At 43.8% G+C, this 17,457-nt stretch overlaps 1 protein-coding gene across 2 annotated transcripts in view, besides 1 other annotated feature; it reads right to left on the bottom strand.

Moving 5' to 3' along the window:
* The window catches only part of CLIC6 (chloride intracellular channel 6), a 49,230-nt gene that overhangs the window by 20,701 nt on the left and 11,072 nt on the right, over positions 1 to 17,457 (bottom strand). The window lies entirely within an intron of this gene.
* Positions 12,814 to 12,873: a silencer, noted in NCBI's record as "silent region_13273". NCBI's record gives its function as "represses an Ori minimal core promoter by ATAC-STARR-seq in GM12878 lymphoblastoid cells {active_cell/tissue: GM12878}" and the evidence as "EXISTENCE:reporter gene assay evidence [ECO:0000049][PMID:35858748]".

Below are 17,457 nucleotides of genomic sequence, written 5' to 3'. Positions count from 1 at the left end.
ATAGATGCATCCATCAGACTTGATGGTTAACACTTTGAATGCTGAGGAGGTGGGACCAAAGATAGGGAAATAACAGCTGCTGAGAAGAGAAGGGAAGGGGAGGGGAGGGGAAGGGACCAGATAAACAGGGCTGAGGTCTGTCAGTGTTCAGGGAAGAGATGAGAATTTAAGACAAGCCTAACAAACTCCCCAAGTCTGTGGAGAACCAGCTAATACAGGGACGGCCTTTCCCCTCCTGGCTTTGGCCACCTTTGGAAAAGTCTGCTGCTCAGCTCAACTAGAGATGCAGTTAAAAAAATCACTGGCGTAGCACAGGTGGCAAACCTACCCCAGAATTGTGACAGACACTCCAGACCAAAGGGCACCACCCAAATGGGCCAGACACCAGGCCCTCCTCATTTCTGAATCTCTAAATCACTCTCAACAAAGGCTGCAATTTCTCTTTGATCCTCTATACTGTCCCTGGATTAAAGAGAAAAGCAAGAATCTCTGTCCAAGTCCAATCAGAAGACCCTGCAGGCATCCCCAACCCATCAGCAGCTGGTGAGAAAAGAGTGCCCTGTGTACCTGAACGGGTGCCGCGTCCCAGGAATTTAGAGATCAAAAGATCAGTATCGATTCATACATGCCACCTTGGAACATGCCCCCAATTCTCATTCTAAAAAGGAGATACATAATTACATGCATTTCTCAAAATAATACACCTGAGGCCTTAAGAAGATCGCAGATTCCAGTTCTGTCTTTTACAAATGTGATGATGAGCAAAATGGTTATGTTGCAAAATAATAATGGTAATGATGAAAGTGATAATGATAGCAACTAACACATATGGAGCATGTGCTCTGTACTACTCATGGTTCTGAGCACTTGTATCAACTCAGATTTAATCCTAGCAACAACCCTATCAGGTGTAGGTACTACTACTGTCTCCATTTAAGAAAACCAAGACACAGAGAGGTAGAGAAACTTGTCCAAGGTCACAAAGCAGGATTTGAACCCAGGCAGTCAGCTAGGATCCTTCTCTCATTCCCACCCTGGACAAATGGAGGGGACCCCAGGGCCAGCAGGGTCCTTCCTCAGAGTGATGGGAGTTGGCTTGTTTATTTGTTTGTTTGTTTGTTTTACCCAGCTCTGCTCTGTAAGGTTTGGAATCCATGGTGATAAGAGAACACATATCAGAAGCAGGTGGAAAGTGCAAAGTACAAACAGTGGTTAGGACAGAAAATGGAGCTGGGTTGAGGCTGTAAAACATGCATGCCCTGTGTGCTTGGGGCATTGGAGAGAAAACATTCGGCAGCCCTGGTGGACAACTTTGGTGGCCAGGTAGGCCAGGGATGGGGGGGGTCTCTAGTCATGTGTGCATATTCTGTCCCCTCTGTAGGAAACCCTTGCTACAACTCCAGATGACAATGGGTTTGATGTTGCATTCCCCCACACCAACACCTAGAGTGCAAAATGTCCTTCTGCCTTATTAACAACAGGCCTCATCCTCCATTCCCATGCCCTTAGACAACCTAGTGGGGCAGACATCCACATGCAGAAACCAGGAAGTCCTGCAAAGCCTGCATCTGGGCAAACAATTCCACCCTTTCTTCCAACAAGGCAGGCAGGGCCATGGATCTCCTTGGAAAATCTCATCGAATCTGCTTTAATCCAGGCCATCATGGCCCCAAGTAGCACATTTCATGTCGTTTAGCCAAAAGAATTTGGGTCTGGAATTTTTTAAGGCAGGTAAAACCAATGTCTGCCTTGGCTATGAATAGCTTTCAATAAAAGCACCCAGAGAGCATAGCACACCAAGTAAGGCCACTTCCTCATGTAGGAAAGGGACTTTTCAGACTTGCTTTTCTCATTTCAGAGTCTGAGAAGACACTGGTTAGGGTCAATAGGGCAATCCCCAACACAGCCAAGCAAATAACCACAAACTGACTTTCCAAATAGGTCAACCCTTGACCACACTCTCTCTGGCCATGGCCTGGAATGACCATGACAGAATGTGAGAGAACAAGCTCTGGGGCATTTACTCGTGCAGTAGGAAGAATAATGACCTCTCAAAGATGTCCATGTACTAGTTCACAGCATCTGTGAATGCATTACCTTGCATGGCAAAAATGACTTTGCAAATGATATCAAGGTTATGGATTTTGACATGGGGAGATTATCCTGGATTATTAGGCAAACCCAATCTCATCACATGAGCGCTTGAAAATGAGAACCTTTCCCAGCTGTGGTCAGGACAGGTTTGATTAGGGAAGAAGGGTCGGAGAAATGAAATATGGCTGGAGTAAAGACGGAGGATGGGGCCATGAGCCAAGACATGCAAGCAGCCTCTAGAAGCTGGGGAGGTGAGGACCTGGATTATCTCCTAGAGCCTCCAGAAAGAAATGCAGCCCTGCTAGTGCCTTGATTTTAGTTCAGTGAGACCCATGTCAAGTTTCTGATCAACAGAACTGTGAGTTAATAAATTGGAGTTATTCAAAGCCACCAAGCTTGTGGTGTAATTTGTTATGGCAATGATAGAAAATGAATACAGCTGAATTTCCACATGGGAATCCTCAACTTTTCCCCAGCACAGTTCAGCAGGTCAACTACTCATCAACTTGCAGAGGGAGGAAACCCTGAAGCAGGTAGTACTTAGCCTATTTCAGAAACTTCCTGCATAGAGCCACTCTGCTCATTTTCCAAAGACTTGCATGATGGCCATGGATGCCATGGAGAAAAAGTGAGAATCCCTGCACCAAACCTCTAACAACCAAGGTGTATTAGTCCATTCTCACATTGCTACACAGAACTACCTGAGATGGGGTAATTTATAAAGAAAAGATGTTTAATTGGCTCATGGCTCTGCAGGCTGTACAGGAAGCATGGCTGGGGAGGCCTCAGGAAACTTACAATCATGGCAGAAGGTGAAGGGGAAGCAGGCACATCCTACATGGCTGGAGAAGGAGGAAGAGAGCAAAGGAGGAGGTGCCACACAGTTTTAAACAACCAGATTTCAGCCTGGGCAACATGGTGAAAACTTGTCACTACAAAAAAATACAAACAAAAAATAGCTGGGCATGGTGGCATGCACTTGTGGTCTCAGCTACTTGGGAAGCTGAGACTGGAGGATTGCTTGAGCCCAGGAGGTCAAGGCGGCAGTGAGCTGAGATCACACTGCTCTACTACCGCACTTCAGCCTGGGCAACAGAGCGAGACCCTGTCTCAAAAATAAAAAAGAGAAACAAAAAAATAACCAGATCTTGGCCGGGCGCGATGGCTCACGCCTATAATCCCAACACTTTCGGAGGCTGAGGCAGGAGGATCATGAGGTAATGAGATGAAGACCATCCTGGCTAACACAGTGAAACCCCGCCTCTACTAAAAATACAAAAAAAAAAAAAAAAATTAACCAGGCGTGGTGGTGCTGTAGTCCCCAGCTACTTGGGAGGCTGAGGCAGGAGAATGACGTGAACCCAGGAGGCGGAGCTTGCAGTGAGCCGAGATCGTGCCACTGCACTCCAGCCTGGGCGACAGAGCAAGACTCCGTCAAAAAAAAAAAAAAAAAGAAAACAACAACAACAACAACAACAACAACAGATCTCATAAGAACTCATTATGAAGAGAACAGCAAGGGGGGAGTTCTCTCCATGATCCAATCACCCGCCATCAGGCCCCTCCTCCAGCACTGGGGATCACAATTCGCTGTCAGATTTGGGCAGGGACACAGATCCAAACCCTGTCACAAGGCAAGACCACAACTCCTCTACGTCGACTTGTGAACTATAGTAACTGTTTCGACCTGAACTGTGGGCAGGCCTGCTTGTTCCTTCACATCACCTTTGGGGCCACAGCTTCTAATGGACAAGCTCCAAATGGAACTTTCTATTTGGCTTCACATGGTTATTTTTCGCCAATTTTTCAACTTGGCAAGAGTGATTTGAGGTCCCTCTAGCCAAAAATCTAACAGGGCACAGACCTGGATCATCACCACAAGAGGATGAAGGGACTACCCATGACATTTTGCCTTTTTAAATCTTGGTTCCTTACTATGGTTTTTAGAACCTACCCTCAAACGTCAAGGTAGGGAAACAACTTCTGGAGGCCATTGGTGCCCCCTAGTGGTCAAGAGATGCACTCATTTATCACTTTCCCTTTTACGGTCTCCATTCCTAATTAGGTTTTGTGGGAAAATGCTACAAGTTAGTTTTTAGCCCCTAGTGGGGGACTAAACCATCTAGATTTCCCTGGGACTCAGTGATTCCCTGCTACACAGGATTTTCAGTTTTAAAACCAGGAAAGTCCTGGAAAAACTAGGACAAGCTGGTCTTTCTAACCCCTGACAGACCTCCTAGACTTCACAAAAGAATCACCGGAAGAAGGCAATGTCTTTTTGTCTAGGCACCTCAAACAGAATTAGGACCTGAACAGTGTGCTTTTAAAAATGCATCTTGATTTGAGGTCAGCAGCTAGATGGTGCATACTTTGCCTTATGTTAGGAAAACAGCAATTTACGATTGGTAAATTATTTCTCGACTCTCATTAAAGAACAAGGGGTGGGGCTGGGGAGGAAGTCCAGTGGTGGGAGAGTAGGGTCACCCCATATGCTGGCAGAGCAGACCAAGAAAAAGAAATTCTAATTATCTCTAAAAGTGTTCAGACTCAGCTTTCTCAACTGGTTCAGAATTCCCCAGCTCTTCTGCAAAGTTCTTTAGAAATGCACAGCTCCCTGGAGGTGGGGGTCCGGGGAGGCACCTGCCTTCTCTTCCTCTTTCCTTATAATGTTTTTAAGTTTTAAAGAGGCCAAAGGCCTAGAGCAATCTATTAACAATGAAAAAAGTCCAGTCCTTCAAACATACTCAGGTCAGTTTCAATGACCAATATATGAAACTTCTCTGCAGCTGGGAGCTGGGAATTGTATAGTACTTTTTGTTTACACTGAAACTAGTGAGTAAACAGAAATATCTTAAGGGTTCTTAAGGGAATTATTATGAGATCAGGTTTAGAGCCAATATAGATTTTAGAACACTTCCTTTTAAAAGACTCCAGAAATCAGAGGCTTTGCAGTCAGGTAGAAAGCAGGTGATCATCTATGTGGTATGATTTGCGAGATCTGGGAGAATCCACCTATCTACAAATGCCCCCACCAGCCTTTCATGAAAGTCTGAATCACAGAGGATTGTCTAGAAAAAAGCCACAGTCCGTCAAGCTACATATGTGGTCATCTTCCCTCAGGCCAAACTAAAAGGGGGCACCAGCTCCAGTGACCTCTAACCTCCCCATGAGTTGACACTATCTGTCCATTTCCTTATACACAAAGTGAAGGTGTTCGTTTTCATAACTTTTCTATACCTTCTCAACGGTGACACCTTCTCAGAGGTGGCTGAAGAAGTGGCAAAGCTAAATGAGCACTCTTGTCTTAATAAATTACATTTTGTAAAGACATGCTTGTCAGATCTCTTTCTAAAAAGTTTGAGGCAGTTTTGAGAAACTGTCTTAGTGACTACAGCTGGTCATTGTTACCATAAAGTATCCTAGTATTCAAATGTTAAAATTAAGTCACCTGGAATACTGAAAAAAATAGCAACCTAAAATACTAAGAAGATTTGGATTGCTAAATTAAAGTTCTCAATAGATCTCATGGATGACACGTTCATTGAAAAGTTTTGCTTCATTTTAAAGGGCAAAAAGAACAAGAGCCACCTGTAGTCAATTACATCATCAGTTTCTCCTGCAGTTGCCTTCCTTAATGGAACAATTTCAACAAAAAAAGCACGCAAATGAACGGCTCTCAGCACAAACAAAATTGCTTGTAAAGGAGCAAGGCAATTGCACAATGTGCTGTAGGACCAAACACCAGATCAATGGTAGAGTGGGATGGTATTTTTCATTTAAATGCAAATTTGGTAAACCTTGCCCTATATCCTCATGTTTAAGAAACCTCATCTGTATCAACCTGCTAGTTTTCCCCGACACTCCCTTTTTTTTTTTCCTGGCCACAGAGATTGAAAGGAAAGCCTGTATTACTAAACCAAAACTTCGGGTTTCACAAGCTTTACACTTAAGCCAGCCTGACATTTTGCATTGGTGAAAGCAGACAAAAGAATCAACCAGGAGTGCATAAAAATCATATTATGTATTAAATCAGAAAACTTGGCTTTAAGCTTCAAGAGAAGGGAAATCAGGGTCAGAATCAAAAAAAAAGTGTGGCATTTAGGGAAATCACAACATTTTATTAGAACTATCAATATGTTCAGAGGAGTGACTTCTCCAGTTTTAACTGTTAGATTCCAGTTTTGCATTTCCTTGTAGTCTCTGAATCTTTACAAGTTAAAGGGTTCCTAGTTCATGGAAAATTTATTTGCTAACCTTGAAAGTTCTATGTCAGTGAGCAAAGACATACAATACCTCCCTGTAGAAGTTAGCAATTTAGAGAGAGAGCTTTAGGATACCTCAGACATTATGGAATTATCTGGAAACTTTACCTTCCCCCATTTTCCACTGTGAGTGACTACAACTATATGGCCTGGTTTGACCCACACGAGAGGAAGGCCGTGGCCCAAGACCAAAGGGGATCAGCTGCTCTCCAAACAGGGAGAAACACCAGCCTGACTGGCCAAGTCTGGGCTTTATTATAAGGAATTCTTTTCTGTGCCACATGCTTTTTTTTTTTTTTTTTTTTGACATGTATTATAACTCCTTTCCCACCCTCACCCTGGGGAAAAGAAAAGGAGGGGGCACCCACACTATTTCAGGATTCACTAACCCTGACCCAGGCTGAAATCAGCTTCATGTAATTGTCCATAAAGCAGTTGAGGAGCAGATATTCAAAGGCTCCTGTTTTCAAAGGGGGCAGTTGTGCTCAGTGACCAGGAAACCAATGTCCCTAACTGGCTGCGAATCATATGGCGAACACAGCAACCCAGTGTCAGGGTAATGAGTCACTTCATCTGCCACCTGCAGATGAACAAACACACCTACACCACACAAAGGAGAGGCTGGCATTTTCCAAATAAGCTCATGTGTTACGCTAAATCCAATCTAGGCAAGTCCAGTGACTTAAGAAACTGCCATATTTCAGTCCTGTGTTAAGGGATAAAGGAAAGTGAGGCTTTAGAAAACTGGAATTCGAAAAGGAGGCGATAAAATATATTCTCTACAGAGAATAACTTGCAAATATTTTACAATAAGGTACCAGCAGGCAATTAAATAGGGAAAGATATGTGCTTGTCTATTTCGAGAAGAAAATGTCATGTGATGATAACTTGGCTGTGCTGTGGGGTGACAGCACTGGCCTCGAGGCTGATCCTGCACCGCTGGATATCCAGGCAGCGCTGTGCCCTCACCCTCTCTGAGCTGTGAGCCGGACCAGAGAAAGATCCCCACTCACCCCACCCTCACCCATCAAGAGGTCTGTCCTTTGTCAGGGAATATACAAGGGTCTGGACATTCCTGCCGGAAGCTCCAAACAAGTTCCTGTGATCCAACTATGGGAAACAGACTCAGAAAATAATGAAAGTCTTTTCCAAGAATAAAGGAGAAGAAACTTGTCTAGCCTCAAGACTAGAGAGCTAGAGTCAGAATGGCTCCTAAAAGGAAAAGAGAAGAATCTGTTTGGATAAGACAGTGTGGAGCAAGAAGCATAATTTCACGCTGTGTTGGGGTGAATCAAAAATGATAAAGCGTTCAAGGAAACATCAGAGAGCCAACAAAGACATGGAGTTGTCCGAAAGCTTCTGCCAAACCTAAGAAAGTGGATTGAAAAGAAAAATCTTCAGCAGCCGCAGTCCCCAGAGAAGGCCCCAGCCTGACATTGCACAGCGTCTCAGGGCGCATTTGTATTCCAGCCTGCACTGGGGAGTTTAGTGCCCCTGGAGCTGTGTCAAGCAGTATCAGTGGACACCAAGTCCATCCAGCCCCAGAAGATTCTCAGGAAAAAAAAAAAAAGCTTCAGATCCCTTAACTCACCAAACGAGACACTTGTTAGAGCACCTTCTATATAAGAAAGTGGACTTGCAATGAGAATGAGCAAGACATAATAATAAACAATAATACTCCGAATGGTAGTGAGATACAAGGCACGTGGTTTGAAACACAGACCGTGGAAGCCATCTCTGGTGTTGTTCTGCACGCACCTCCCAATCCCCAAAGGAAAAACATCATTCTTCATCCAAGTACCTTCGAACACCAGTTCACCTGGGCTTCTCCAATGTCAACACGCACCTGTGGGGTTGTGCTGAGCACTGACAACGTCTTCCTAAGAGTGGGTCTCACCACGACTGCTGGAGGTGTGGAAAACCAAAGGGGAGGTGCATTGCCCAGAAATCCATCTCCTTCTCTGCTCCACCCTCTCCCTGCATCTGGAACTGCAGTTCATGAGGAAGAAACAAGAGGGCTGTTGGCTTCAAAGATGCAGGTGTGGGCAGGGTCCTCCTCAGGCAAGGGAAGAATAAAGAAGGAGCCCTTTGCTCTCTCTTTGAACTGCGAGAGAGCTGGCCCACCTCATTCCCTCACCCCACACTGAGAGCAGCTTCACAAAGGTGCCCTGAGAGATTAGAAAGGAAGATCCTGGCTGGACAAGTGGCTCACACCACCACGCCAAACCTATTTCACAATTTCTAGAAGGGACTTGGACACCTTCGAAGGAGTCATAGAATACAAGCAGGCTTCTTTGGGGGAAATTTTGACATTGCGGCCATCAGAATTTGCTACTTCAGCTCAAATTCTGGAATTTCTGTTTCCCCTTAGAAACAAGTCAAGTCTCCCTTAGAGAAGGAGGAAAATCAGTCTCATTGCATCCCAGTCATGAGACCCACCACTGAGGTCCGCTCAGCTGTCTCCCTGCACCCTCTGCCCAAGCCTTTCTCAGCTCAGTCACCTTCTTCTCCCTTCTTCCTCTACAGTCTATATTAGCAAACTAGAGACCCTCGCTGGTCTTATCCCCCACCTCTTGGTTAGGCGCAAGATGGAGCTACCTGAGGTGGAGCAGGCGTCAAGCCATCGTACAATGAAAGGGACAAGGGCAGAGCAGATGGGCCATACAGGGCGTCTATGCAGACTATCTGTAAGGCGTCTCTGCTTCTTAGCCTCTCTGTAAGGCCAGGGGAACGCCAGCCGCAGAGGAGACCACCCGGGTGAACCGTCGTTCTCCGTCTTTTGTCTTCCCTCGCCTGCGCTCTAGTGGGGAGAAAAAATAGACAGCGAGGACAGCAACAGCCAGCAAAACCCAGCAGCAGAAATAAGGCTCCGAGCCGAATAAGAGTCAAACCAATGGTGGGGGGCGGCCACACTGATGAGAATTGAGGGGAAAGACTATTGTGTCCCCTCGTTTTCACATCTTTGCTAGTATTGTCCATTGTTATTATACCAGCTCAAACTATGACACAAATAGTAGGCATCACACTTCTTGTAAGTCTATAAAGGAAACATGTATCATCATTGCAGCAAGGCCTATTTTAGAAAAGAAATTTTTTTTTGTAAATAAATAAAAGTCCACACTTTCTAGACTGACTTTGTTTGCATGCTCAACCAATACTTTACACTGCATACCCCCAGTGGAGCGGACAGCTCCATCCCAATGCTCGTTGTCTGTAATTATCAGTAAAATTTATTGCCAGATTCCTCATTCCAGGCCATAAAAGGAGCTAGGCTTTCCCTTAAAACAGACTTCTCACTCTTCATTAAAACTTAGAAATTAACTTTATTCACTCCTACATTTAGATGCTAAGAAATATATTTTAGATCTTAACACTTTCAAACATAGGTGTAAACATTTAAAAAAAACTACTAATCCTAAACATATTCCTAAGTATGTATAGTATTTTTTCTTTTCAGCTGTTGTAACAATTAATTTATTATTCAATGGATTAAGTGGGTGACTACCCTCGACTCACATTGATTAATTACTGAACCACATTGCTCCTAGCTTTCAATTCTAGCAAAAGGCTTAATTATGTTAGTGTTCATTGTAACAGCAGGTGGAATCAAGGCATAAGAAGTCCTTGAGCAAACAAACTGGTATTTGCCATCTATTCTTATATATGAATTATGCTTTAAAAACTCCGGGGCTATTTTTAATCCATATTTAATAATATGGCCTGATACCAACTGAAGCTTTTACATGGAGATGAAAAGCTTATTTCCTTGTGAAATTCTCACAAGGAATTATTGCAACAAAGGAACATCTTGTTCTAGAAAGCCTGCTTAATATTGCAGCCTGTTTTTATATATCCCGGTGGTTTAGGTTCTTGAATGACAGAGTAGTCCAATCCCTACAGTGACTCAAAAGGGAAAAAATGCAGGCACCAAATGGAAGAACTGGCTGCATGGAGCCTCCTTCCTTTCCTCTGATTGCCCCCTCCCCTTTAGAATTGCTTTCAACTGTTACTCCACACCTCCCATCTGGCCCTGTCTTTTCACCCACTCAGATTTCACTAGCTTAGAGGAGACATCAGTCATGGCATATCCCAGTCACCAATTGCCACGTAACAAATTACCCACAATTTATCAGCCTAGAGTACCTGGTTTATAGTATCTCATGATTTTGTGAGTGAAGGATTTGAGCGAGGTTTGCCTGGGCGATCCTTCTGTTCCGTGTGGCACTGACGAAGGTTACTCAGCAGTGTTCAGCTGGCAGATGGGCTGCTCTGAGGGGCCAAGACAGTTTCATACACATGCCCAGTGTCTTGTGGATGGTCTGGTCTGAGGGGGCCAAGACAGCTTCACACATGTGCCCAGTGTCTTGCGGATGGGCTGGTCTGAGGGGGCCAAGACAGCTTCACACACATGCCCATCATCTTGCATAGATGGCTGGAAGGCTGGGCTCAGCTAGGATTGTCAAATGGAGCACCCACAGGTAGCCCCTCCAGCATGGTGACCTCAGGATGGTCAGTGAATAAGGCAGAAGCCACACAGTCTTGCAGGACAAAAATCACCCAGCATCACGTCCACTATATTCTGCTGGTTACGAAGTAGTCACTAAGGTCAGGCCAGATTCAGAGGGAGGAGAATCAAACCTCACTTCTTAATAGGAGTATTAAAGAAATGGCAGCCATCTTTAATCCACCACACTATATGATTCCAGGCTGTGCCAAAATGCTCAAAGCATATGTTTTTGGTTTTGGGTTTTTGTTTTGTTTTGTTTGACACAGAGTCTCACTCTGTCACCCAGGCTGGAGCGCAGTGGCGTGATCTCAGCTCACAGCAACCTCTGCCTCTTGAGTTCAAGTGATTCTTCTGCCTCAGCCACCCAAGTAGCTGAGACTACAGGCGAGTGCCACCATGCCCTGCTAACTTTGTATTTTTAGTAGAGACAGGGTTTCACCATGTTAGCCAGGCTGGTCTTGAACTCCTGACCTCGTGATCTGCCCACCTCAGCCTCCCAAAGTGCTGGGATTACAGGTGTGAGCCACCGTGCCCGGCCAAAGCATATGTTCTTAATCATATTAATAAATGCTTTGAGCATTTTAGTTATTTACTAAGTTGAACTGGCTTAACCCATTTATGCCTGAGGTTGCAAATTTTTTGTGTGAAAAAGCAGACCTTGGTGATGACATTGAGCAGTAGGATATAAATAACTTCCACAAGCTTAGCGGTCCAATAATGGAATACTAGGCATAAATGGGTTAAGAAAACCTTAGTAGTGTCTAAAAGCAATGGAGTTGTTGTTTTGTACTCAGCCATGGGTGGAGCTACATATGTGCAGGACTTCCCTTAGCCAGAGCCTCAATACCTGGAGAGTGACAGAACATTCTTGCTTTATTGCTGTTATTTATGATTCAAAGCATTATAATATATTAGTAAAAAGGGCAGCTAACAAAAAAATGTCCCCCTCCATGTCTGATGTGTTAATAGCTCTGTGTTTCTTTAAGCACTGGATTCTCTGTTTGGAGAGTTACATGACACAGAGAAGCCGCCGAGTGCAACCTAAAACTTCATCCAGTTTGATCATTTATGGGAAGAGAGTTGAAGACATCCAACCCGGAGTTAAAACAAAGAGAACAAAGCTGGGGGAGAGAGTTAAGTCTTTCCAAGGTTCTTTGAACTCACCTCCAAGGCTCTCACACCAAAGGCACCAAAAAAGTGTTGATTTTTCTTATTTAGGGAGAAAGAGTATCACTGGATCTCCAGACCAATAACACCTTTAGTTTGTGCGGCCTTCAAAGCAGATGATGGCTGTGATGTGCCGACGTCTTGGACAGGCCATATGGCCTTCACCCTAAGGACCCCATCAGAATATCACTGTGTGTTCCAGCCAGGGAATAAAACAGTGTCCTCTGTTCATCTCTGCTTTGATTCATCATCCCCATGTCCCCAGGTGGCTAGAGGAGGACCAGGGTCACCGCTTGGGGGATTGCTGGAGTGCATATCAGCTTCTTCCTACTGGACTGCAGCATCCTACACACCACCCCCCACCCTGCCACCCCACCAAAGCTAGGAAAATAAAAGCATAAAGCCTTGAGAACAATGGGTCCAGGCTTTCTTCTCTCTCAGTAGCCAGGTACCCTCTCCAGTGGAGAGTCTCCCTAGCTGGAAGGCAAAATCTAGGTTTATGGAAAAGGACCCAACTGCCTGGCTTCTCCAGGACAGTTTTGAACTCTCACACCTGGAAACCAAAAGGGTGCCCTGAAACTGACAGCCACTTCATCAGCACTGTGTTGCCTCTCCTTTGTAAAAATAAGGGCTGCTCCTTAAAGAAATAACTGCAGAAAGGGGACATGGAATGACCTAGGTCACATTTCCAGGTCCTCCTTGCTTGTGTACTATAATTACAGTGATTTATTTTCCTCTCCCTCATTTTGGCCTTCACTTACACTCCTCACTGTAGTCTCCTACCGTAGAAAGAGGAAGAAGGAAATAATCTTTCATGTGCCATAGAGCTTTAATAGTTGTAAAGTTACTGTGCTCAAAGTCAAGGTCTGTAAACACAATCTGGCTGCTGAGACATCACTGGCTTAGGTGAAAAGAACTTATGGATAGTAATATAAAATTACATTCTACAAAATGTATAATTAAAAATGGACCACCTGACAGAGTAGCTATTTCTACATGGCTGTCATTCATACATCCATCTGTTGTGCAGATAGATGGATAAATTGATTCATCTTCCAAATAGACAGGCACATGGCAGGGGGCCAGGCCTCATGGTCAGAGATCTAGAATCTAACTTTCCCCTAGACTGTTGTCACTGCCCAGCCTGCCAGCCTGCTCTTCCCACCCGGCCCAGCAATCTCCTGTGGTCCTCTTCCTCATGTTGCATAGTAGTTGTTTCTTTCTGGATCACTGTCTAGGCTGAAGTTCTCCAGAAAAGCAGGGGCTGTGTTTGTTCTAATCACTGTTACACCCCCAGCCCCAAGCACAATGTCTGCTACTTGGCAGGTAATCAATAAATATTTGTTTAAAATATACATTTGGGTGCAAAACAGCACTTGGTAGTGTGAAGGACAAAAAAAAAAAAAGCAGCGTTTACTTCTCCCTACTTATTTTTATGTGAACAGCCATATACTATTAAAAGAAGAGAAACAGTGAGTTGAGGGATAAAATCCACAAACCTAGTAAAAATCTGGAATATGTCAACAGAGTCTGTGTTTTCCACAAAAGCTTCAAAATTATTTTTTCAAACAACCTTTGATATTTGAGCATTTCAGTTCTCCCTCTGTATTAGTCCACTTTCACACTACTATAAAAACTACCAGAGACTGGGTAATTTATAAAGAAAAGAGGTTTAATTGACTCACAGTTCCACATGGCTGGGGAGGCCTCAGGAAACTTACAATCATGGTGGAAGGTGAAGAGGAAGCAAGGCACATCTTACATGGCAGCAGGGTGGGGATAGGGGAGAGTGCCACACTTTTAAACCATCAGATCTCATAAGAACTCACTCACTATCATGAGAACAACATGGAGGAAACTGCTTCCATCATCCAATCACTTCCCACCACATCCCTCCCTCAACATGTGGAGATTACAATTCGAGATGAGATTTGGGTGGGGACAAAGAGCCAAACCATATCACCCTCCCACTCCGTAAACATAAGCTATAGGTAGGCTTCATTGTCCTCCACAATTCTCTGGATCTCCTCATTCTCTATAAATTTTGGTCAATTCTTTCAACAGACTGGAGCACAAATAGAATATCTGGCCAAGAGACACAACCTCAGAGGCAATATTTTTATATCACTGCATCACAGGTGATATTTTCACAATGGTTTTGATTTATGGGAATCAAATAAATTTCAGTAGATATTATGCAAAGATCAAAGCGATATATCTTACATCTGAAGATGGGGTGATATAGGCATGAAGTGATCCTCCTGTCTGTACAGTTTAAACTTTGTTTTGAAAAGGGATTCTTACCATGCCACATGGAGTTTCATTCTAAAAGGGCATACACTTGATAAAATGTACCTGTTAATTAAAAATAGAGGGAAAGGGGGCCAGGCGCGGTGGCTCACGCCTGTAATCCTAGCACTTTGGGAGGCCGAGACGGGCGGATCACGAGGTCAGGAGATCGAGACCATCTTGGCTAACACGGTGAAACCCCGTTTCTACTAAAAATACAAAAAATTAGCTGGGCGTGTTGGCGGGCGCCTGTAGTCCCAGCTACTTGGGAGGCTGAGGCAGGAGAATGGCATGAACCTGGGAGGCAGAGCTTGCAGTGAGCCGAGATCGCGCCACCGCACTCCAACCTGGGAGACACAGCGAGACTCCGTCTCAAAAAAAAAAAAAAAAAAAAAAAAAAAATGGAGGGAAAGGGGTAGGACTGGAAATACCTGATTCTTCAGGATTTAAGAGGTTATAGAGTATAAAGTAAAGCAACCTTTAAAGATGTCAATGAATGAAGTTGGAGATTCTAAGAGTGCCATCATCATCCACACTTTGCTTTCCCATGCATCAATTACAAGAAATTACTAAGACTAAAAGGATACATTTTCAAGTGCAAACAGTCAGCACACTCTTATAAAAATATATGGAACACATGTGACAGACAAAAGTCTAACTTCTTTAACATCAAAATCAGAAAGAATAGGTCAAAAGCCCATAAGAAAAATGCAGAGAATATAAGCAGCCATCTCACAGAAAAACAAATATCAATATATAAAAGAATACTTATATACTTTTTAAATATATAAAAGTATACTCGACCTCACACATAATAAAAGAAATGCAAATTACATGACAATGGACATTATTTTCACCTCTCAGATTCAAAATATTTGATAATACCTCAGCAGAGAAGTTTGTGGAAATAAGCATGGCACTGATATAGTGTCAGAGGAGCATTACATGGTATCACCTCTTTGAAGAGGAAATTTGGTAATGGTTATCAAAATCTTAAATATGCACACCCTTTCCCGTAGCAATGCCATTTCTAAGAATTTAGCTCCCATATATTATTATGCATCTGTGGAGGGATATTCACTACACCATTATTTAACATATCAAAAAGAGGAAGCTACCTAAACAACTACCTACAAGAAAATGATTATAGAGTATACACATCACCAGAATACTATGACATTTTTCACAAGAATGTGACAGAGCTAGAGGCACTGATAAGGAGTGATTTCCAAGACATATTGTTAAGGGAAGAAAGCAAGATGTAAACCAATGTATTTCCAGTGTACTATTTTTTGTGGAAAAAAAAGTAGATGTGGTATTTTAAAGATTTGTCCACAAATTCTTTGCCTTTTCTTTTAATTGGTGGAGCCTAATTCCACTTTCCTTGAGGACTGGACTTAGTGATCATATTTCTAATGAATAAAATAAGGCAGAAGTTACAGCATGTAACTTCTGAGACAAAGTCATAAAAGGCATTATGGCTTCTTCCTTGGTCTCTCTTAGATCATTGCTCTGGAAAAAGCCAGATGCCATGTTGTGGGGACACTAAAGAAGTCCTATGAAGAGGCCCAAGTGGTAAAAAAAACTAACTGCACCTCCTGCCAAACGACATGTGAGCCAGCCATCTTGGAAGTGGATTATCCAGCCCTAATAAGTCCTTCAGATGAGACCATGGCCCTAGCCCCAATCAATCCTTCTGATGAAACCACAGCCCTAGCCCCAATTAATCCTTCAGATGAGATCACAGCTCTGACTGACATCCTCACTGCAACCACATGAGCCAGAACTACCCAACTGATAAGGTTTGGCTCTGTGTTCCCACCTAAATCTCACCTTGAATTATAATAATCACCATGTGTAAAGGGCAGGATCAAATAGAGATAATTGAATCATGGAGGCAGTTTCCCCCATGCTGTTCTTGTGATAGTGAGTGAGTTCTTATGAGATCTGATGGCTTTATAAATGGCTTCCGCCTTCACTCAGCACTTCTCCTTCCCACCATCATGTGAAAAAGGGCATGATTTCTTCCCCTTCTGCCACGATTGCAAGTTTCCTGAGGCCTCCCCAGCCATGCGGAACTGTCAGTCAATTAAACTTCTTTCCTTTATAAATAACCCAGTCTCAGGCAGTTCTTTATTGCAGTATGAGAATGGACTAACACAGTAAATTGGTACTGAAGAGAGTGGGATGCTGCTATAAGGATACCTGAAAATGTGAAAGCTACTTTGGAACTGGAAAACAGACAGAGGTTGGAACAGTTTGGAGGGCTCAGAAGAAGACAGCAAAATGTGGGAAAGTTTGGAACTTCCTAGAGATTTGGAGGGTTCAGAAGACAGGAAGCTGTGGGAAAGTTCAAAACTTCCTACAGACATGTTGAATGGATTTGACCAAAATGCTGGTAGTGATATAGACAATGAAGTCCAGACTGAGTTGGTCTCAAATGGGGATGGGGAACTTATTGGGAGTTGAAATAAAGGTGACTCTTGTTTTGCTTTAGCAAAGAGACTGGCAGCATTTTGCCCCTGTCCTAGAGATCTGTGGAACTTTGAATGTGAGAGAGATAATTTAGGGTATCTGGTGGAAGAAATTTCTAAGTGGCAAAGCATTCAAGAGGAAACAGAGCATAAAAGTTAGGAAAATTTGCAGCCTGATGATGTGATAGAAAAAGAAAAACCAATTTTCTGAGGAAAAATTCAAGCCTGCTGCAGAGATTTGCATAAGTAACAAGGAGCTGAATGTTAATGACCAAGACAATGGGGAAAATATCTCCAGGGCATGTCAGTGACCTTTGTGGCAACCCCTCCCATCACAGGCCTGGAAGTCTTCTAGGGAAAAATGGTTTCATGGGCCACAGGACCCCCTGCTGTGTGCAGCCTAGGGACTTAGTGCCCTGCATCCCAGCTGCTCCAGCCATGGCTAAAAGGGGCCGAGGTACAACTCAGGCCATTGCTTCAGAGGGTGCAAGCCCCAAGCCTTGGTAGCTTCCAAGTGGTGTTGGGCCTGCTGGTGCACAGAAGTCAATAATTGAGGTTTAGGAACTTCTGCCTAGATTTCAGAGGATATATGGAAATGCCAAGATGTCCAGGAAGAAGTTTGCTGCAGGGGCAGAGCCCTCATGGAGAACCTCTGCTAGGGCAG

Source organism: Homo sapiens, chromosome 21, assembly GCF_000001405.40.
Source record: "Homo sapiens chromosome 21, GRCh38.p14 Primary Assembly".
In the NCBI taxonomy this organism is placed as follows: Eukaryota; Metazoa; Chordata; class Mammalia; order Primates; family Hominidae; genus Homo; species Homo sapiens.
Note: the sequence above shows the minus strand (reverse complement) of the source record. Positions and strands in the feature narration are given on the sequence as shown.